The 22,343-nt window shown below is 41.4% G+C and overlaps 1 protein-coding gene and 1 pseudogene across 5 annotated transcripts in view, besides 1 other annotated feature; both read right to left on the bottom strand.

The window, feature by feature from the left end:
• CRACD (capping protein inhibiting regulator of actin dynamics) overlaps positions 1–22,343 on the bottom strand; it is a 281,512-nt gene that overhangs the window by 228,114 nt on the left and 31,055 nt on the right. The window lies entirely within an intron of this gene.
• Positions 5,017–5,105, bottom strand: RNA5SP161 (RNA, 5S ribosomal pseudogene 161; annotated as a pseudogene).
• Positions 15,966–16,618: an enhancer, noted in NCBI's record as "OCT4-NANOG-H3K4me1 hESC enhancer chr4:56952044-56952696 (GRCh37/hg19 assembly coordinates)". NCBI's record gives its function as "activates a minimal SCP1, AML or CMV promoter by ChIP-STARR-seq in naive H9 embryonic stem cells {active_cell/tissue: H9 hESC(naive)}" and the evidence as "EXISTENCE:reporter gene assay evidence [ECO:0000049][PMID:30033119]".

Raw genomic sequence — 22,343 nt, 5'->3', positions numbered from 1 at the left:
AGAGGATTGGGAGTCAAGGCTCCTGGGTTTTTATCTGTTTGGGAACACTGATCTAGTCATACGTTTCTCTACCCCCATTTCCTCATTTGTAAAATGAAGAAGGTGAATGCTAGGACCACTCATCCATGCTGGCTCTGATTAGAACGGAAAAAAGACAAACTTTAAAAAACCCAAGTAGTTAATAAACATGAAAAGAAATGCTGATATTCATTCATAATCAGAAAAATGTAAATGCATTAAGATTGGCAAAAAATCATTGCTGGCAAGGATACAGAACACCAGGAACTCATTCTATGAAGTGGGAGTGTAAATGGGTATAATCACTTTGCAGCAGAATAATTTGGCAGTATCTGGAAAGGCTGAAAATGTACACGCTCCAACTTAGCAATTCCACCCACAAATGCATGCCCTAAATAACATATATACACAAGGAAACATACACAAAAATATTCACAGTAGCATCATTTTTAGTAGGAGCAAGCTAGAAACAGCCTAAATATCAGCAAGAGATTAAAGAAATGTAGTATATTCATAAAATGAAAAACTATATAACAATTGAAATGAATGAAATGGTGCAATATATTTAGCAACAAGGACAAATCCCTAAACAAATCTGAGTGGAATAAAAACAGGTTGAGAAGGATACATGTAACATATGTTTTATAAAATGTTTAATATATGCACAATCGTATCATACATTGTTTAGTAACACATTCTTTTTTTTTTTTTTTTTTTGAGACAGTCTTGCTCTGTCACCCAGGCTGAAGTGCAGTGGCGCAATCTCAGCTCACTGCAAACTCTACCTGCTGGGTTCAAGCGATTCTCCTGCCTCAGCCTCCCAAGTAGCTGGGATTACAGATGCCCACCACCACACCCAGCTAATTTTTGTATTTTTAGTAGAGATGGGGTTTCACCATGTTGGCCAGGCTGGTGTCAAACTCCTGACCTCAGGTGATCCACCTGCTTCAGCCTCCCAAAGTGCTGGGATTATAGGCGTGAGCCACTGCACCCGGCCAACACATTCATTTTTAATAAAAGTACAAAGATATACACAGACGCCAAGTGCCAAATTCAACACAGCAGTCTCCTCTAGGGGAAGGGAGAGAAATGTGACCAGGGAAAGGGCTTAATTTATAATATTTTAATAGCTTAAAGTAGGTGGGGGATACACAGATAATTATGTTTTTTTAATGTGGCTGTTTGTATCTGGAAAATATAACAGCAACAACAACAACAACAAGGACAGGAGGAAGGGGAGAAAATCAGGTTGTTTTCCTAAGTCAATTTTGCCAAAACAACAGAGCCTAATTATATATAAATATATACTTGGGAAGAAAAGGGGTTGGACCCTGCCTTTAACTAGAAAGCAAGAGGCTTCTCTATAAATAAGGAGACTGCAACAGATGATGCCTAAGATCCTTTCCAGATAGAAAATTCCACTTCCCTATTCTACTGCCTCCCCACCTCAACTGGGGGTCTGGCACTGGCAATAGAGGGACTAAGACATGGTTTTCCCCACAGAGATCACATTTAATCCAAGTTGAGGTTTTAAAACTTGCATTTACTTACTTCCCTCTAAAATCTTGTTTTCATTCTCTTGCTCACACTTGATATAGATATTCATTTGCTGGGGCTGCCATAACCAACTACCACAAACTGGGTGGCTTAAACAACAGAAATGTACTCTGTCAGAATTGTGGAGGCCAGAAGTCCAAGACCAAGGTGCCAACAGAGTTGGTTTCTTCTGAGGCCTCTCTCCTTGGCTTACAGAAGGCCATCTTCTCCTCTCTGTGTATGCTACATCCAAATTTCCTCTTCTTATGAGGATACCACTCATACTGGATTAGTGCCTACTCTTATAATCCCACTTTCACTTAATTACCTCTGTAAAGACCTTATCTCCAAATATGGCCACATTCTAAGGTACTGGTGGTTAAAACTTCAACATACCAATTTTGGTGGGGACCAAGATTCAGCCCCTAACAATAGGGTGGCCCTAAAATCTTCCTATTGACAGTTTTATGAAGGTTTGTGAAGGGAGGCAGTAAAGTTACTCTAATTCTGTAACTATTTGCTTCTTGTCACTAAAATGTCAACCTTTTTTGCAATTAACAAAGGCACAATTATTATATAGAGCTGCTCAGAATGAAGTAATTTATTAAATTTAGCTATGTATGCTATTCAAGCGAGATTAATTCTTTCTGATGTTGAAATTAAATAGTTGTCTTTCCACCCCTTCCCCCCCGTCCCCGCAAGATGGAGTCTTGCTCTGTCGCCAAGGCTGGAGTGCATTGGCATGCTCTCGGCTCACTGCAACCTCCGCTTCCCGAGTTCAAACAATTCTCCTGCCTCAGCCTCCCAAGTAGCTGGGATTACAGATGCCTGACACCATGCCTGGCTAATTTTTTTGTAGTTTCAGTAGAGACAGGGTTTCACCATGGTAGCCAGGCTGGTCTCAAACTCCTGACCTCGTGATCCGCCCGTCTCGGCCTCCCAAAGTGCTGGGATTACAGGCATGAGCCACCGTGCCTGGCCAGTTGTCTTTATTTTAACAGAAATTCATTCATTTTCTAGAAATAATCCTGTTGGAAAAACAACACACAACTGGTTTCAAGGACCAACATCTGGTGCCAAAAATGACACACATATGATTTCTCCAGGATATTATTTCAATGGTGTCTGCTAACAGAGAGATGTCGCAGTTTCAGAGTTAGTCCATAGCAACACATGCAGCATTGTATGATGCACAGTTGGCCAGCCTGTCCCACTTCCAGCATGGTGCTCACTTAATTTAGCCCAGTGAGTGACAAATTGAACTCTGTTGGCTTGGCCCACGAAAGTCTCAATGTCTGCTAACCCACACAGAGCCTCCTTTCTTGAGCCTGTAAGTCATGGGAATGGGAGCCAGGTCTCATTAGGGCAAAACCATCAAAGGACACTGGGAATCATGGAAACCAGCCATTTCGGAACAGTCAGTATGCCAAAAGCCTAAAATGCCCCAGTGTGAGCGGCTGAAGGATACTGTTCCTCCAAGCCACAGACATATCTATTTTTAGCTTGGGGAAATTGTGGTTTTGGCCAAGTCATACCTTACAACAAAGGCAAGTGAGTACATCATCAAAGCATGTCCCAAAAGAACAGGTATCTATTAGGTCCAACTTCATTTGAAAAAATAAAGGAGTCAGAGGAAACAGGGAACATCAAATACTCATGACAGATCCTGACCCCCAAAATTGTACCTGAATAAGGTAGTCACTGGTAGACAAATACAAGTCCAGTGTACCAACATCTTCCATGTGACTCTGAAGGTAGCTACAATACTCTTGAAAGACAAAGTTTTCAAAATAAACTTTGATTATTCAGAGGTCCACAGTCACCCATTCTTCAAGTGAAATCTAAACTGTCACCTGTTCCTCAATGAATGGTCACTGAATCTACACAAATGCTGTTTCTAATGTAATTAACAGGAATTCAGCAGAGAGTTCATGCTGTTTACCTTGGTAAAGAATAGATCCCGGGCTGGGCACCATGGCTCACACCTGTAATCCCAAGCCAAATTTTAGGAGGCCAAGGTGGGGAGATCACCTGAGGTCAGGAGTTCAAGACCAGCCTGGCCAATATGGTGAAACCACATCTCTACTAAAAATACAAAAATTAGCCGGGCGTGGTGGTGCACACCTGGAGGCTGAGGCACGAGAATTGCTTGAACCCGGGAGGCAGAGGTTGCACTGAGCCAAGATCATGCCAGTGCACTCCAGCCTGGGTGACAGAGCAAGCCTCTGTCTCAAAAAAAAGAATAGATTGCACCAAGTTTCAATGTGGAGGTCTCCTGGGAAACAAGGTGTTAACCCCTGGGAATTATCCTGTTGGCACTTTAAGTTCTTGTTATTAGTAAGTGGAAGAAGTAGAGTTTATACCAGTTTTTAAAAATGAATAATGCTTTAAATCTGTGACAACTAAAATTACTCTTACAGAGTACATCAGAAAAACCTTCAGTAATTAATTTGCTTTTTTAAAGTTATCACACTTTGTAGAATCACCCAAGACCATAATATTTATTTACATTTTCCCGAAGTAGTGTAAATGTATATATAGTTAACATTAGACTTACCTATCGCATATGAAAATAAAACCTTCAAAAAATTTCAAAATTTCATATATGAAAACACAAAAAATCAAGGCAGAATTTTCAACCTGTCCATACCAGAATCTATCACTCTACTGTACCAGAAAACCTTAAGTTCTTCCTGTTTTTCCTATTATGCTTTTGGTGCCAGCTAATTTGACTTCAATTTCAAAGTAAATTTACTAAGTCCCCTCAATGTCTACAGTAACACATTTGTCAAGTCAATGTGCTTAAAGCACAAGAATTTCAAACTGGAAAGTCTAAGTTCACTGGATTTCCCAAAGAGCATTTAGAAAAATATTTTACAGAAACAGCAAAAATCAAACCTATAAGCAAAGCATTTATAGTTTTAAAAACTTTTTGGAAAACTAAAAATACATACCAATTTTTTTTTCATTCTGGGTTTCCTTTAGTAAATTTAAGTGTTGATTTACAGAATATTAACAATTTCAGGAGAGGGATACACCAAAGAGATAATTCTTTAAAACAGTTGCCAACTAAAAACCAGACCATAAATGAAAATGCTACTTCTCTGAAATTATTAACGACAGCAATCATTCCATCCTGTTCTCTATCCCTTCCTTTTTTCCCTCCCACTCTCTCCATCTAACAATTCCTTGATCCCATTGGACCTACATGCCATTGACCCTTTCACCATTGTTCACTATTTTCTTGTCCTCAAATTTCTTAGCCAGCTTAGATCCATAGTCTATCATCACAATCATGTCCTTGCACACACCTTCACCTCCCTAGCCTCTCTTCTCATTCCATCTGGCTTACCTGTCTAAACACTAAACCTAGCCAAACCCAATCCCTACCTCTTCCACAACTGTACAAGTGCTTTTGAACATGGCTAGAAAAACACACTCAACTAGACTGACAGGTCACATTCTCCCATCCAAGTACTAACCAGGCCCGACCCTGCTTAGCTTCCGAGATCAGACGAGATCGGGCGCATTCACGGTGGTATGGCCGTAGAGGACAGGTCACATTCTCAACTCACAGTCACTAACTTCAAGCAGCAGAGCCCTTACTGCAGTTAAGCAATCCTAACACCCTTCCACACCATTCATCTTCCACTCTCCCAGAAAACTATTTTGTACCTCACCCTCTTGTTTCAAATCCCCAACAGGGCCTCCTCCATCCTCACTCTCAGCTGATGATAGAGCCAAAAGCCCTCACCACTACTTATACTAATCTGCCTGTAGCTGGGCCCATGGACAGTATTCTGCCTTCCCTCCTATCACTATGGATGGCACGTCTGTTTCCTTGTCTAAGGCCAACCTCCAACTTTGTGCACCAGGCCTCATCCATTATTATCCATTCAAGGGCACAGCTCCAGAAATTCTACCCAATTCTTCTACATCATTAATTTCCTTTCTCCACTTAAGCAACCACTAGCAAATGGGAACAAATAAACATGTTGTTTTCCATCTTTAAAAAAATAACTCTTGACCCTTGTTTCCCTTCTATGGCTTCTATTCCACTTCTCTGTTCCACATTACAGTAAAACTCAAAAAAGTTTTCTCTACTTATCTCCAATTCAACTCCTTCTATTATCACTTAAGCTAATTCCAGGCCATCTGTCACCACCACTGTTCCATCGAACTGCTCTTGTCACTGTCACCAGTGACCTTCATACCACTAAATCCAATGGTCACTTCTCAGTCCTCATCACACTCGACCTCTCAACAGCATCTGAAACAGAGGGTCATTTCTCTATTCTCTTTTTTTTTTTAAGACAAGGTCTCACTCTGTTGACCAGGCTGGATCTACTATAGGTGCACTCCACCACGTGCAGCTAATTTTTGCATTTTTTGGTAGAGATGGGGTTTCACCATGTCATCCAGGCTGGTCTTGAACTCCTGGGCTCAAGCAATCCACCTGCCTTGGCCTCCCCAAATGCTGTGAATACAGATGTGAGACACCACGCCCAACCCATATCCTCTATTCCTGAAACACTTCCATCTTTAGGCTCCAGAACTTCATCATCACTACTTCGCAGGCTTTTGCTCAGTCTAGGCTGATTCCTCTTCATATCCCAAGCCTGTAAACATTGAAGTGCTCCAGAACTTGGTCCTTGAACATCTTTGCAATTGATTCTTGCTCTCTGGGTAACTTCATCCAGTCTCATGGCTTTAAATATCAACTATATACTGATGCTTCTCCAATGTATGTTTCCAGCCCAGATCTCTCCCTAAGATTCCAGCTTTATATATTCCTCTGCCTTTTCTACATCTCTACTTAAATACCTACTATGTCCAAAACTGAACCTCTGATCCTCCCCTGCAAACCTGCTCCTTCTACAATCCTCCTCACCTCAATATATACCAAACCAACTCCACCCTTCTAATAGCTCAGACAGAAAACTCTGGCATCATCCTTGACTCTCCTCTTTTCTCTCATCTCCCACATCCAATCCTTCATCAAATCCTGTTGGTTCTATCTTTGAAAATATGAAATATATAAAAACCATATCTCACTACTCCACAACTAACACTATCCTATCTCAGCTGGATGAGCCTCAGCTGGATAAGCAAGAGCTTCCTACCTGGTCTCCCCACCCCACATTGTCACTCTCAACAGACATCAGAGTGACCTCGATAAGTTGGATTATATCACTCATCAGAATCCTCCAGTGACTTTCCATCTCTCTGACGCAAAAGCTAGTCTTTGCATAAGGCCTTACATGAGGGACCAGGTTACCTCATCTTCTACCACTCCTCCCCCAACTTACTCTGCCCTGGCCACACTGGTCTTACTGCTTCTTGACCAAGGTAGGCGCAGCCCACCTTGGAGCATTTCCACACACTGTGTCCTCAGCTTGGTTCACTCTTCCCGCTGATAGCCGCGTGCTACCACCTCGATTTCTTCAAGCCTTTGCTCAGATGTTACCTTCTGAATGAGGCCTCCCTAGCAACTCTGTTTATAATTGCCGTATTCCCTACTCCCTTTCCCCCACTTTGTCTCTACTGCCGTCGCTATTTCTCCACTGCGATAACAATAGTACTGATAAACTGCATGCTCTTGATTCCTAGTTTATTATCTGTCTTCCCCAACTAAAATGTTAGTTCAGAAGAGCCCCAACCACCCGGGCTCAAGCAAGTCTTCCACCTCAGCCTCCCAAGTAGCTGGGACTACAGGCAGGTGCCACCATGCCCAGCTAATTTTTTTATTTTTAGTAGAGACAAGGTCTCACTATGTTGCTCCAGCTGGTCTCAAACTCCTGGACTCAGGTGATCCTCTTACCCTGGCCTCCCAAAGTGCTAGGATTACAGGCGCGAGCACCCAGCCTAAAGTATTTTTTAAGAAATGAAAAGGATATAGCATTAAAATAGTGTTTACCAGTAGGGCGGAAGGGATGTAAATGTATTGCTGAGGAATACAAAAGGGATTTTAAATACATTCTAAATAATCTATATCTTGAAATAGCTGAAGTAAATATTGCAAAAATTAGCAATTGTTAAATCTAGGTGGTAAGTGTATGGATGACAATGTATCAATAAACCTGAAAATATTTTACAGTTTTTTAAAAACTAGAATTGACAAAATCAATAACATATCTTTGCTTTTATTACCAGAAATGTAGTTTATAAGATCTGTCAGATAATTCTGTTAACATATAAAAATGAATGTACATGAAATCCCAGCACTTTGGGAGGCCAAGGCAGGCAGATCACTTGAGGCCAGGAGTTCAAGCCCAGCCTGGCCAACATGGCGAAACCCAGTTTCTACTAAAAATGCAAAAATTAGCTGAGTGTGGTGGCGCATGCCTGTAGTCCCAGCTACTCGGGAGGCTAAAGTGAGAGAATTGCCTGAACCCAGGAAATGGAGGTTTCAGTGAACCCAAGAGATGGAGGTTTCAGTGAGCCGAGATCCCACCACTGCACTCCAGCCTAGGTGACAAAGTGAGTGAGACTCCGTCTCAAAAAAAAAAAAAAAAAAAAAGAATCTATATGAAACTATGGAATACATAAGTAAATATATAAAAATCATTTTATGAATTCTTTCTAGTTTTTCCTGTGCATATAATTCCAACTGAAAGACTGCAGTAGCCAATGGAGCAGACATCATAAACATTAAAATAATGACTACTTAGGGAAGAAAGCACATAAGCTCCTTGAGACAGCAAGGATTCAAAAGAAACAAGTAATTATTGCAAGAAAATATACATATCAACCAATGTAGTTTTCATTGCATCTTGAATAGTTTCCTTTCAACTACAATTTTTAAATCCCTCAGATATTTAATAAAACAGTAAAACATTTTTTCTAACATTGGACTCAATCAATATGACTTGAATTAAAATTGATGCGAACCTTTCCATCCAATGCATCTGACTTCTAGTGACTATCTAACAAGAACCCAAATGCAGTCATCCAAGTGATAACAATTTAAATTTTCCTTATTCAAGCCAATTATCAAAACTATGTCCCAATTTGAGGCCCAGAAACTGCCAGCCCTGGTGCATACATTACTGACAGGGAAACAGAGACCACCTGAGAAGGAAAGGCCTTTGCGTTTCTGCCAAAATAAAAGGCATCAGAGTTTTCTTCCAATGAATCACTATCTAAAATTGCCCTGGGCCAGAAGGGCCTCTGGTTACCTAATCTCTTGAAGCATAAGCAAGGTCTTCAGGATTCTGATATTGTCACTTTTGTAGAACAAGAGCATTGAAAACATTTAGAAGATAAGGCATCACATTGGCACTGAAGATCTCAAATGGAACCTGGCATCAGAATTCCTATTCAGGACTTTCAGTGGCAGGACTCGCCTACCTCGTGGAAGAAGATGACAGCCTTTAAAAGAAGGGAAGGTAGCTGGGTGCAGGAAACACAAGGCCAGGTTCCATGTGCCCAGGGAACTCTACAGGGCCACTTTGGCTATAATGACATCTCTATTTGTAAAACGGAAATAATTATATTCATCATCTAATAAAGACCTCCAAAACCTTAAGAGAAAAGAAGCAAAAATGCAAATGAATACGCGTCATGAACCTGCACAATGATTTCTCAACCTGGCTCTCTGAGTTCCAGACACATCCCCAAGTACCTACAGGAGGCAGGACTTAACATCGCATCAGGAAGTGGGGAAAGGAAACTAACATTTGTGAATTACAGGCTAGCATGACTCCTCAGTGCCTAGCACACAGTAAGGCACTCAACCAAATCTGATTTAATCCTCAAAATAACCCTACTAGGTAGCATTATGGGTCTCATTTAACAGATAAGAAAGGACTAAGGAGAACCAAATAAACTGCCAAAGAAAAACAAACAAGCACAGAAACTATGAAAAAACTCCAGTAAGTAGTGGATCTAGCACTCAAATCCACTTCAGTCTGATTCCAAAGCACCCGCACTAATTCATCTATATATTTAGTGATGTCCAACAGAAACACAGTATGAGCAACATATGTAATTTTAAATTTTCTAGTAGTCACATTAAAAAAGTTAAAAAGAGGCCGAGCGTGGTGGCTCATGCCTATAACCCCAACACTTTGCTCTCCTGCTGTAAGGCAGGAGGATTACTTGAGGCAGGAGTTCGAGACGAGCCTAGGAAACATCACAAGACTCTGACTCTACATAAAATAAAATTTAAAAATTAGCCGGGTGTGGTAGTGCCATTCTGTAGTCTCAGCTACCGGGAAGACTGAAGTGGGAGGATCACTTGAGCCCAAGAGTTTAAGGCTACAACGATGTATGATCACACACTGCACTCCAGCCTGGGCGACAGAGTGAGACCTTGTCTCAAAAAAAATTAAAAAATTAAAAAATAAATAAAATAAATTAAGCCAGTGAAATGTATTTTGATAATATATTTTATATAACCAATGTACCCAAAATACTATCAATTCATTGTGCAATCAATATAAAAGCTTTCCATTCTTTTTCTCATACTAAATCTTTGAAATTTACACTTACAGAATGCTTCAATTTGGACTAGCCACATTTAGTGCTCAACAGGCACTTCTGGCTAACAGCCACTGGTACTGGGACAGCACAGGTCTCTACCACACCGACTCCCATAAGCAAAAGGACTATTCCTCGGGGCCCAAGATGGATAGATATCCTCTGCCTCAGAGCTGGTAGAAAAGAGAAGCACATTCCTGGAAGCACCATGCACCTTCTTTCCTTGAGTCAAGTGCATGTCAGCTGAAAAGTTTCCTCCTCAGTGATGCCTTCCCTGGCACAAAGTCACTCATCACCCCAACCTGTCACCCTCCTCCACAGGTCCTCTTCTATTTTCTTCTTGACACTTATCACTAAACTATTTTGTTCATTTATTTGTTCACTGTTCATTGACAATCTTCCCCAACTCTGTGGCCCACTAAACTTTTTTTCTTTCTTTTTATAGAGACAAGGTCTTACTATGTTGCCTTGGCTGGTCTCAAACACCTGGCCTCAAGCGAGTCTCCCGTGTCAGCCTCTCAAAGTTTAAAATTTAAGCTCCATAACAGCAGATCCTTTTCTGTATCTTTCATTACTCTCTTTCCAACAGTGTTTGACACACAGAAGGTATTCAATAAATATTGGTTGCATTAATGAATTGTTATAGCAAAAAGGGTATAAATTTCCTCCCCCACAAACTAGGAAATGCATTTTCCATAGAACAATATCATATGGAAATTCGTTTCCCAGACTCGCCCACCAAAGTCTACTTAACCCATAATGTAACAAAACCTAGGAGGAGATAACAGAGCACATGACAATGGCAGCAAGTGGTTTAGTAAAGCAAAACCTCCTCAAACGCCCAGTGCAGGATCATCCCTTTCACTTTCCCACAGCCCCTGAAACATAGCAGGCTTTCAATATGAACAAATGAGTTGATTCTAAAGAGAAACTCCAGCTACACTATGAGTTAAATGATCATTTATGGGCTATCCTGGGAATCCAACCAACAATTACAGCACTGCTGTAAAAATATTTTGCAAGTGGTGTTCCCTGATTCCTTAATTTAGGTGAGGTCCCCCTGTTACATATGCCTGCGTTTAAAAAAAAAAAAAAAGAACTACTCTGGCCAGTCACAATGGCTTAGGTCTAAAATCCCAGGACACAGCACTCTGGGTGTCTGAAATGGGAGGATCACTTAAGCTCAGGACATTGAGACCAGCCTGGAAAAGATAGTGTCTCTATCTCGTCTCTACTAAAAATAAAAAATTAGCTTGGCATGGTGACACATGCCTATAGTCCTGAGGAGGCTGAGGCACAAAGATTGCTTGAGCCCAGGAGTTCAAGGCTGCAGTGAGCCCGGATTGCAATACTGCGCCCCACCCTGGGCAACAGAGATAGACCCCATCTCAAAATAAATAAATAAATAAAAAAGAAAGAAAAGAAAAAACTACTATTGTGTGAAGCAACAGAAATTCAACCCAAACTAGCTTAAATAAATAAGGGAAATTTATTGTAAAGATTCTGAGGAACCCAGTTGGATCTCAGAAAGAACTCTAACCAAAAACCCAAACACTGCCAGAACTTTCACTCCATCTCCAGGATCCAAACCTCTGCGTAACAGAGTCACGTCCTCCCATCCCCTAACTGTGGCTTCCTCCACTCCTTCAGGACTTATGGTTGGAACTATGGCCCCTAAAAGGACCAACACTTTCACACTGCTGTTTAGACACCCAGAAATTCCTTGGTCTTCTAGCCTCTGAGCCATTTCAAAAATCCCTGGCCCTGACTGGGCGCAGTGGCTTACACATATAACCCCAGCACTTCGGGAGACCAAGGCGGGCAGATCACCTGAGCTCAGGAGTTTAAGACCAGCCTGGGCAACATGGCAAAACCTTGTCTCTACAAAAAATACAAAAATTACCTGGGTGTGGTGGTACGCACCTGTAGTCCCAGCTACTCGGGAGGCTGAGGCAGAATTGCTTGAGCCTGGGAGGTCAAGGCTGCAGAGAGCCAAGATAGTGCCACTGCACTCCAGCCTGGGCGACAGAATGAGATCCTGTCTCAAAAAAATCCCTGGCCCAGCTTGGCAGGTGCTCATCCTCGGACCCAGCCTCGGGTCAAGCTGCACTAACAATAACCACAGGAACGCCTGGGTATAAGAGGAGATTCCTAGAAAAGGGGTGCCAGGCAGACGACCCCAGTGCAGTCCTTTCCAGCTCCCCTTAAATACTGTACTTCACGTTCATTATCTTCATCACTTGTGAAACTACCTGTGTAAAGTTTACCTTTCTTAACTAGTTGATCCTGCCAGTTTTTTTTTTTTTTTAAAAAAAAGGAAAATAAAGTTTACCTTTCATATTAAGGCATCTGATTAAGGAAGGCAGAATATGTATTTCTCTTGCTCTCCACTGTTATCCCCTCATGAGGAGTAGTTTTTGGCCCCTAGATGCCCCTCAGAATATTTTGGTTAAGCAAATGAAACTATTTTAAAATGAAATTTTAAGGTGAAACTATACAGTCAATGTAATACTCCTCATTAAGAACTTTTTATACAGACTAATGATGGATTAAAACTCTTAATGGTTGATAAAACCTCCTCCCATTCACAGGTAAGCACCTGGAACAATTCAGTCGGGAACCTAGTGTCACAGACCATAAAATCCTATAGCCAGGCACGGTGGCTCATGCCTGTAATCGCAGCACTTTGGGAGAACAAGGCAGGTGGGTCACCTGAGGTTGGGAGTTCAAGACCAGCCTGACCAACCAGAGAAATCCCGCCTCTACTAAAAAATACAAAATTAGCTGTGTGTGGTGGCCCATGCCTGTAATCCCAGCTACTCAGCAGGCTGAGGCAGGAGAATCGCTTGAACCCGGGAGGCGGAGGTTGCGGTGAGCTGAGGTCGTGCCATTGCACTCCAGCCTGGGCAACAAGACCGAAACTCCGTCTCAAAAAAAAAAAAAAAAAAAAATCCTATAATACCTTGACCAAAACTACTTTGTCTAAATAGTTCCTGCACACACACTAGCTAGGTTCCCCACAGGAAGCAATGCCGTAGGCGGCAACTTAACAGTAGACACTCTATCAAGAAAAGTGATAGGGCTCAGAAAAACAAATCCGCAAAGTGAACCCTCAAGTAATAAAAGCAGCAAAGGAGTAGGAGGGAAGAGGACAGCATCGTGTTTACAGCCTAACAAAGGGCAAGATGCCCTGGGACTGCAGCAACACAAGCTTTCACTAACAAAGTGACCCAATTTAGCTGGCACAGGAAATTCAAATTCCGGGTAAGGTAGGATCTTCACAGGGCACAAATTTGTGGTCCCAGACTTTTAGGGGACATTCTAAATGCTACACTTTACTGGTGATATTAAATATTAATTCATTTACTCAAACCCAAAGTAAAATATCTCTAACTCGTTAGTGAAAAAGTTGAGGTACAATACTACAGAAAAACTAGGCTGGGCATGGTGGCTCATGCCTATAATCCCAGCACTTTGGGAGGCCAAGGCAGGTGGTTCACCTGAGGTCAGGAGTTCAAGACCAGCCTGGCCAACATGGCGAAACCTGTCTCTACCAAAAATACAAAAATTACCCAGGCGTGGTGGTGGGTACCTGTAATCCCAGGTACTCAGGAGGCTGAGGCAGGAGAATTGCTTGAACCCGGGAGGCAGAGGTTATCGTGAGCCACGCTCACGCTGCTGCACTCCTGCACTCCAGCCTGGGCAACAGAGCAAGATTCCGTCAAAAAAAAAAGTACAGTATATAATTTGTTCAATTATTCAATTATTAGTAGTAGTGTGCCCATTTTAAAGATGAGAGCCTTAGAGGCAGTAAGTAACTTGGCACAAATCAGTTTAGCTAAAAATGGCTAAAAGAATACTTCAACTGAGGTCTTTAATACTAAATCCATTATTCTTCCTACTGCCTGAGAAACCAGATAATTTTGGTATAAGTAAGTATTTCTTAAACTTATAATGCCGGGCATCATGGTGCACACCTGCAGTCCCAGCCTCCCCACTTGGGAGGCTGAGGCAGGAGAATTGCTTGAACCCGGGAGGCAGAGATTGCAGGAGCCGAGATCACGTCACTGCACTCCAGCCTGGGAGACAGAATAAGACTCTGTCTCAAAAATAAATAAATAAGCTGGGAACAATAGACACCAGGGCCTACTTGAGGGTGGCCCCAGTAAGGACTGAAAAAACTACCTATCAGGTATTACGCTATTTACTAGGGTGACAAAATTATCTGTACACCAAACCCCATGACAGGTAATTTACCCATGTGACAAACCTGCACATGTACCCCTTGAACCTAAAATAAAAGCTGAAAAGAAAAAAAAAAAAAAAAAGAAACAATCTAGAGAGATGGAGGAGCCTGATCATAGAGTCATTAGTCACACTGGAGATTTGGGGCTTTATTCTGTAAGTGTTAGAAAATTCTTGAAAGAATTTTCAAGTGTGTGAAATGATAATGCATTTAAATTTTAGACATGGTGACAGAAGGAGAGATGGGTTTAAGGGGAAACAAAAGAGAAAGAGATAGTGGAGAGGGGTAATGAGGGCCTGAATTAGCGACATGGTAGCAGACAGGTGAAGGAAGGATACAGGAGGAGAAGAAAGAGTGATGACACACTCCTTAGGAAGATGTTCATGTTTATGGCTTCAGTGACTTGGGTAACTGAAATAAGTAAGTAAAAAAAGAGGAGCTTCAGGTTTTAGGGAGAAGGGACTGAGGTCGGTTTTGTATACATTGAATTTTGTGATGTCTGTGGGCATTGAACCAGTTATGTCCAGTAGGCATCTGGATAAAAGAGTGTGATGTGTAGGAGAAAATATTCAGATGGGATGGTGATGCACACTTGGCAGCAATAAGCATAGAGGTGACAGAGCCACAGGAATGAGTGAAACCAGCTAAAGAAGGCATATGGAAGAAGAAGGTTTCAGAAAGAATCAGGTAAACTGCAACATTAAAGGGGTGAACCAGCCCAGGGAGGAGACTCCGCAAGAAGGAGCAGACAGAAGCGAGAGGAAGATCCAAGAAATGTGGGGATGAAACATTTCCACATGTCAATGGCCAACAGTGTCTCTGCAACAAAGTCATTGAGTTAGGAAAGGACTGAAAATGCATCCATCCTATTTCTCAATGCCAAATCACTAGTACTCCTTTAGGGCTGGGCGCGGTGGCTCACGGCTGTAATCCCAGCACTTTGGGAGGCCCAGGTGGGCGGATCGTCTGAGGTCAGGAGTCCAAGATCAGCCTGGCCAACATGGTGAAACCCCATCTCTACTAAAAATACAAAAATTAGCCGGGCATAGTGACGGATGCCTGTAATCCCAGCTACTCCAGAGGCTGAGGCAGGGAGAGTTGCTTAAACCCGGGAGGCGGAGGTTGTAGTGAGTCCAGATCACACCACCACACTCCAGCCTGGGTGACAGAGGGAGACTCCGTTTCAAAATAAAAAAAAGACAAAATCCCTAGTACTCCTTCAAAAAGGAAGAAGAGGGAGAGAGAGCATTTGTGTGGCATGGCAGGGCTGGTACCCAGTACCTGTGGTAGAGAAGTGAATGGAAGGTGAAAGAGGGGAGCGGTGACAGTTTCTTTCTCAGATGTGCCTGCCTGAGAATAGAGGAAATGTGTTCAAAGTGGTTCTAGGATCAAAGCCCCAAAGTCAGTCATAAGACCACGTGGCATTGATGGGGGCCAGGCTGATTCACCAACTTCACCAGCCAACAGCCTCCATGGAGAAACGATAAGAGGAAACTCACTGGGCGGTGCCGGGAAAGTGACGCACCTGGACACTTCCTGACTGCCATGGAAATCAGATAGGAGGGGTAGGGAAGAGGATCCAAATAGAATGGGGCACTGGATTTGCATGGATTAGATGAGGGAAGAGGTGAAGGGAAAGTGAAGGAGGTGTCCGGGGTACCTCAGGAACAAAAATGTCAGCATATTCCAACATGAGCTAAGGGGACACTTCAGATAGAACTTCAGACTGTTGGTTCAGTGTGAGTAATAGGATTCAACACTATCAGAAAGGGCTGGGCTCAGTGGCTCACCACCTATAATCCCAACACTTTTAGGAGCCTGAGGTAGGAGGATTGCTTGAGGCCAGGAGGTCAAGGCTGTAATGAGCCATGATTGCAACACTATACCCTAGCCTGGGTGACACAGTGAGACCCTGTCTCAACAAACAAACAAACAAACACTAACAGAAAGGAAGGACGCAGGTCTTTATTAGCATGCACTCCCCGACCCCCTGCAATTCCTGGCTCCCTCCCAAGATTCAGAGTTGCTGGGCTCTGCCTGCTTAGCACTCACAACCCTGCTTAGGTCTCCAGGGGCAATCAACTGGCTGCTTCCCTTTTTGTAAGTGAAAGGTCACGTCTCCATCTGCAAAGAAAGCCATTCCTCTCATCTGTTTGCTTCTCTAGGAATGAGTATGCAATAAGAAATCTGGGGAGTGCTACGAATGGTAAATAGTAACATGCAGGGAGAATTGAAGAATAGGAAATAGTGAAATCTAATTTAAACTGAGCAAATTACAAAAGAGAAACTATACCATGAATAAATACATAATATTAAAAATCTAAGGGAAAAAGATAAATAAATAACTCTTGCTTCCAGAATCTATTCTTTAGCCTGGTGCTCCTCAGAACATTGATCAGAGTCCTATATCTAAAAATTGTCAGTTCAAGCTCCTTCTTTTACATTTCTTCCCCTCCTTTTCTTTCATACAGAACAGGGGTCAGCCAATGAAGGCAAGGGGGCAGATGCAGCCCGTGATCTGCTTTTGTGTGGCCCAGGAGCTAAGAATGGTTTTTACATTTTTAAAGGATTATAACAAATAAACAAAACCAAAGTAAAATACTCAACAGAGACCGTATGTAACCTGGGAAACCTAAATTAATTTGCTATCTGGCCCATTACAGGAAAACTTTGCCAACCTCTAAGACAGATGAAGACTCTGCTGCCCAGTAAGGCAGAGATGTTTTTGAGCCTACAGAGCTATTCAGCAGCAGAGCTCAGACAAGAATCCGTTTCTCTTGGCTCTAAGTCCAGGGTGCTTTACCCACCACCACATCAAACATAGATGTGAAATAATTTCCACTTGAAGGTAAAAAAAAAATAAAGGGAGACTTTAGGTCTTCCTTAAGACCCACATAAATAAACTTTAAAATAAAGATTCTACTAATATTGTTTTAAGGACTCCCGGGAGAGTAATGTCAAACGGGAAGGAAATATTTAGTCATGCGCAGCACACACCTCTCCACTGTCCGTTCCTCCTCTCACCTTTCACTCTTAAAGTGTCTCCTGAAATGTGTTCTAGTCTCTGTCACCTGGAAAAGAATGCTTGTGGAGAAGAGATGTCAGGAAGTATGATCTGTTCATGCCAAACGCCCATACTCCACCCTTCCCACTCACAATCACACACATAAAAGCAAACTGTGGAGTTACATGGCAACCCACAGACATCTCAATCACACCACATACAGTTAAGACTATGCCCAAAATGGTTTCACTGGTAATCCAAGTCAAAATGCCTCTATTTTAATACTTAAAGCAGCTTTATATGCAATCCGATCACCTAACCTTTGATGAAGTTATATGTCCTAATCAAAACTCACCTAGAAACTTCCAAGGAAAATCCAAATGGTAATAACCCCAGTACAGAACTTCCCACACTAACCAGACTATTCTCCATGTTAGCTCTCTACTTTGAATGATCATTCATTAAAACAAACAAACAAAAAACTCCTCTTGTGGCAGATATTGAATATCAATTACTAGGAAAGGGCAGTGATAATTTATCTGTCTTTATAAATCATAACACATTCCCCATCATCTCATCAGACATAGCTCAGTGCCCACGGCCTTGTTCTGTCTTGGTGCTGGCTGGCACTGACCCCAACTGTAACAATATTATTAACAACATCATTAATATCCTAAAAGGCAAGAAGTCAAAATAAAAAGATAAATACAAATTTCATATAAAGTATTATTTTAGAATGTTATATTAAAATAGATTTTAGAAACTAGTTTAGTTTTTTTTCACAGAACTACTAAGACATAATCTTAAATAACAGAATCCAGGTTCAGTGTCTTTATTGAGTGTTCCTTCCACATCCTCTTAAGGAAAATCCATATAAGAATTTTTTTAGAAAATGAAGAGAAGGCAGGAAGGAAGAAGAAAAGGAAAAAGGAAAGAGTGAAATAATAAGAAAAACGCTCAGCCAAACGTAGTTCGTGACTTTTCAGTCCAAGGTTGTTCCACAGCTTTTAAACTATGTAGTATTATTTTTGTTATTTGTTAGAGAGTTTCACTGGTCTTTTGGGGTGATGCACAGTAGAGGTCCCAATAATGTTGCCTCTTATAGTACACCTGCCATGTTTCTTGGTATTCTAATAATGCACTAATCTAAAACCTTGCTCCTCATACCTCACTGTTGAATCAATTCATTTGTAGGTTCTTGTGGATTTCTAGTAAATACATACATATATTTTTTGAGATAAGGTCTCACTCTGTCGCCCAGGCTGGAGTGCAGTGGCACAATCACAGCTCACCGCAGCCTAGACCTCCCGGCCTCAGGTGATCCTTCTGCCTCAGCCTCCAGAGTAGCTGGGACTACAGATGTGCACCACCACGCCCAGCTAATTTTTTCTGTTTTTTGTAGAGATGGGGTTTCTCAATGTTGCCCAGGCTGGTCTCAAACTCCTGGGCTCAAGTGATCTACCTGCCTCAACCCTCCCAAAGTGTTGGGATTCTAGGTATGAGCCACCATACCTAGCCTAGGAAACATATTTTTAACCAATAACCAATTTTAAGAAAATTAACAATTAGTCTAGGGTAGCTATAGATATTATTTACAAAAATCTAACAAATAAAAAAATGTGAAGTGTTTTTCTATTCTAAATAGAGCCTATTTATGACATCAAGAAATTTAGGTAAGTTTAGGGTAGGGTAGGGTAGGGTGGGGTATGGTATGGGATGGATGGATGGATGAATTGTGCATTTGTTTCTGCGTTTATTCTCAAAGTTCAGTCTAACCAGTTAATTGACGGTTAATTTCTCACTGTTTTCATTTAGGAGAAATAACCACTTTTGGCAGCCTTTTATCTTCACAAAAGTGAGTAATTGTGCACAGTCACTAATATATTTTTCTGGCCATTATTCAACTTGCTGCTTAGCTAATAAATTGTAAAAACCATTTTCATCCTGGAAATATTTCAGGACAGAAGATCCACTCTAATAACAAACAACAGAATAAAGACAACTTTCCTGTTTCAGATAAAGATTTGGTCCTATTTGCTTTTGGTCTGTGTCTTGTTATCACTCCATAGTTAATTATAATAAAGAAAAAAGTTTTGATCTCACAACTGCCTCTAGTGTCTCTCTGGCTCCAGGTTAGAATGGAAGAGAGTGAAGAGTCTGTGTGAGTGTGCTTGCCCCTTCTCTCTCTAATTCTGCACATCTGTCTCTTTTGTCTGCATTTCCTCTTTTTAGCTCTTTATCTGTGTATCTTTCTCTGACTTATTTATCCTGTTTCTATTTTCTACTCCTTCAATTCCCAACCTTTCTAATGCACTTTTTCTCCTGATGGGCCCTTCTTATGGAAACAACTATACATTTATAATACTTTTTTTTTTAATTTACTAAACAGAATTTGATGTCCTCTGTTCTTGGGGGCACTGAGTAAAAGCTTTTTGTTTTTGCCAAATCTTAAACACTTTCTCCATAAGCCACATCTAGTCCCAGCTCTATAACTGAAATTCTTGGCTCCTTTTCTCTAAATCCCATCCTTTCTTCAAAGTTCACCATCATTTACCCAGCTGCTTGAGCCAGAAACCTAGAAGTCATCTTTGAGTTCTGTTTCCTTACGTCCATTTCAAATCCACTGGCAGGCCTATAGGCTATCAACCCAAAACATACACAAATCTATCTACTTCACTCCATCTACCCTACCATCCCCCTCATAAAAGGCACCAGAATCTCTTCTGCAGTCACCTTAGTATCACTGCTTCTACTCTTGCCTTCCTTCCACAGTGGCCAGAATGAAATTTGAAAACATAAACTTATGGCCCTCCTTTGCTTAAAGGCCTCCCGTGGCTTACCACTGCAATTAGCACCTAATCCAAACTCCTATACAATCTGGTCCTCACTCATCTTTTGGATTTCATCTTTTTGTTCCACAAACATGTCAAGCTCCTTCCTGCTTTTGGCCCTGGGCATGGTCCACCCCTCTGTCTGGAATGCCCAGATTGCTGCATGGTTGGTTCCTTATTATCATTCAGGCCTCTACTTAAATATCACCTCTTCACAGCAGCCTATGTTGACTTACAATCTAAAGTAGTCTCTAGAGGCAACTCTATCATACCACCCTATACTAAGGTTCTGCAGAGCCACTATCAAATATTTCTTACGAAATAAACTTTTTGCTTATTGCTTTGTTCTTCTTCTCCCAAAAGAATGTAAGCACCTTGAAAGCAGAAACCCAGCCTTTTTTTTTTGAGACGGAGTCTGGCTCTGTCACTCAGGCTAGAATACAATGGCTCAATCTCAGCTCACTCCAACTTTGCCTCCCGGGTCCAAGCAATTCTCCTGCCTCAGCCTCCCAAGTAGCTGGGATTACGGGCGTGCACCACTACATCTGGCTAATTTTTGTATTTTTAGTAGAGATGGGGTTTCGCCATGTTGGCCAGGCTGGTCTTGAACTCCTGACCTCAAGCGATCCACCCGCCTCAGCCTCCCAAAGTGCTGAGATTACAGGCATGAACCACCATGCCCAGCCAACCTGGCCTATCTTATGCACTACCCCATGCCCAATAACCAGAGAGGTTCCAGGAACTTAATAAGTTCTCAATAAACATTTTATAAATGAATGGTTGAATGAAAATCCCACAGTCTTCCCTTACCAATGTATCCTACAATGATAATTTTCCTTTACAAATGTGCAGCATTAATTTTACTTTTAATGTCTTGCAACAACTCTTATATAGCTCATAGCTGCTTTAAATATTATTTAACACTTCATGACATCACCACCAACCACAAATATTAAATACGTACCTCCTAGAGTTGAATGAATAAGGGCAGACAACACACACACAAAAATGCTTTTATCAGAAAATTAATTAGCCCATTTACCTGAGTGCGCTATCTCAGTGGGATCCTTGTATTTCTGGGTGTCATATGGTACAGCTGCCCGGATGGTTAAAAATAAAACTATTCATGATACATTCTCCACAGAACATCCAGGTGGGTCCTAGGCAAAGTAGTACTACGTGCAAATTGTTGTTGATATGAGATAATTTGAACAAAAGACAGGGCCAGGATCAGGGGCTCATGCCTATAATCCCAACACCTTGGGTGGCCAAGGTAGGAGGACTGCTTGAGGCCAGGAGTTCAAGACCAGCCTGAGCAACATAGTGAGACCTCCATCTCTACAAAAAAAATTTAGTAATAAATAAACAAAAAACAGTTATGCAGGTATTTCATTTAATCTAAGGTACAACTGGAGTAAAAGAGAAAGTAAGTGGATAGATCTGATGTAGCTTGAGAAACCACTTAGAATTTTGTTTTTAGGGAGAAAGGCATTGCTTCTCCAAATGTATCAGTTGCCTTTGTTAATAACGGTCTGGTGCCCTGGTTGCTGGTCACTAAAGGGTAGGTGTCTTTAGAAGTAATGAATATTTTAGGTCTCGTCACCTTGCTTTGCCACTGAAACAATCTGCTGAAGGGAGAGGGGCCTTTATTTTGTAATTCTATCTTCTAGAAAGCTGACCTTCCTAATGAGTTGGCAAGCTATCACCATTTACCACAGCACATACAATACTCAAGTTCAAAGTAGGTTCCATAAAAGTGGGAGCCACTCTTCAGTTTATAATCCGAGCCTAACTGATAAACAAAACAAGAAGTCTTCATTGCCCATGCAGTAGCATGCATGTGTGCTGTAACAGCACTGCAGAAAAAGTAAAAATGATGTAGTACTTCCTGGCAGACGTGACATCTGATCTTTGGACTTGCGTCATAAAACACCCTTAAAACAAGTAAAAATCTGGTGCAATTTAATATCTGATTGTGTGTACTTGGTTGCCTATAAAGAATGTAAAATGGTTTATGGACATCAAATTTAGAATTGTTTAAATCATCTCTGGAAAAAAAATACCGTTTTATGGGCCAGAACATATGATCATCTTTCCAGAGGTAAGCAAACACTACTATTTTGAGATAACCCCATACAGTTCAGTTTTTTTACCACCGTTTTTTAAAAAAGATTATTTATTTATTTTCATTTATTTACTTTTAGAGACAGGCTCTCACTATGTTACC

The sequence above is a fragment of the Homo sapiens genome, chromosome 4, assembly GCF_000001405.40.
Source record: "Homo sapiens chromosome 4, GRCh38.p14 Primary Assembly".
Classification (NCBI taxonomy): domain Eukaryota; kingdom Metazoa; phylum Chordata; class Mammalia; order Primates; family Hominidae; genus Homo; species Homo sapiens.
The sequence above is the reverse complement of the archived record's forward strand: the minus strand, read 5'-3'. Positions and strand labels throughout refer to the sequence as shown.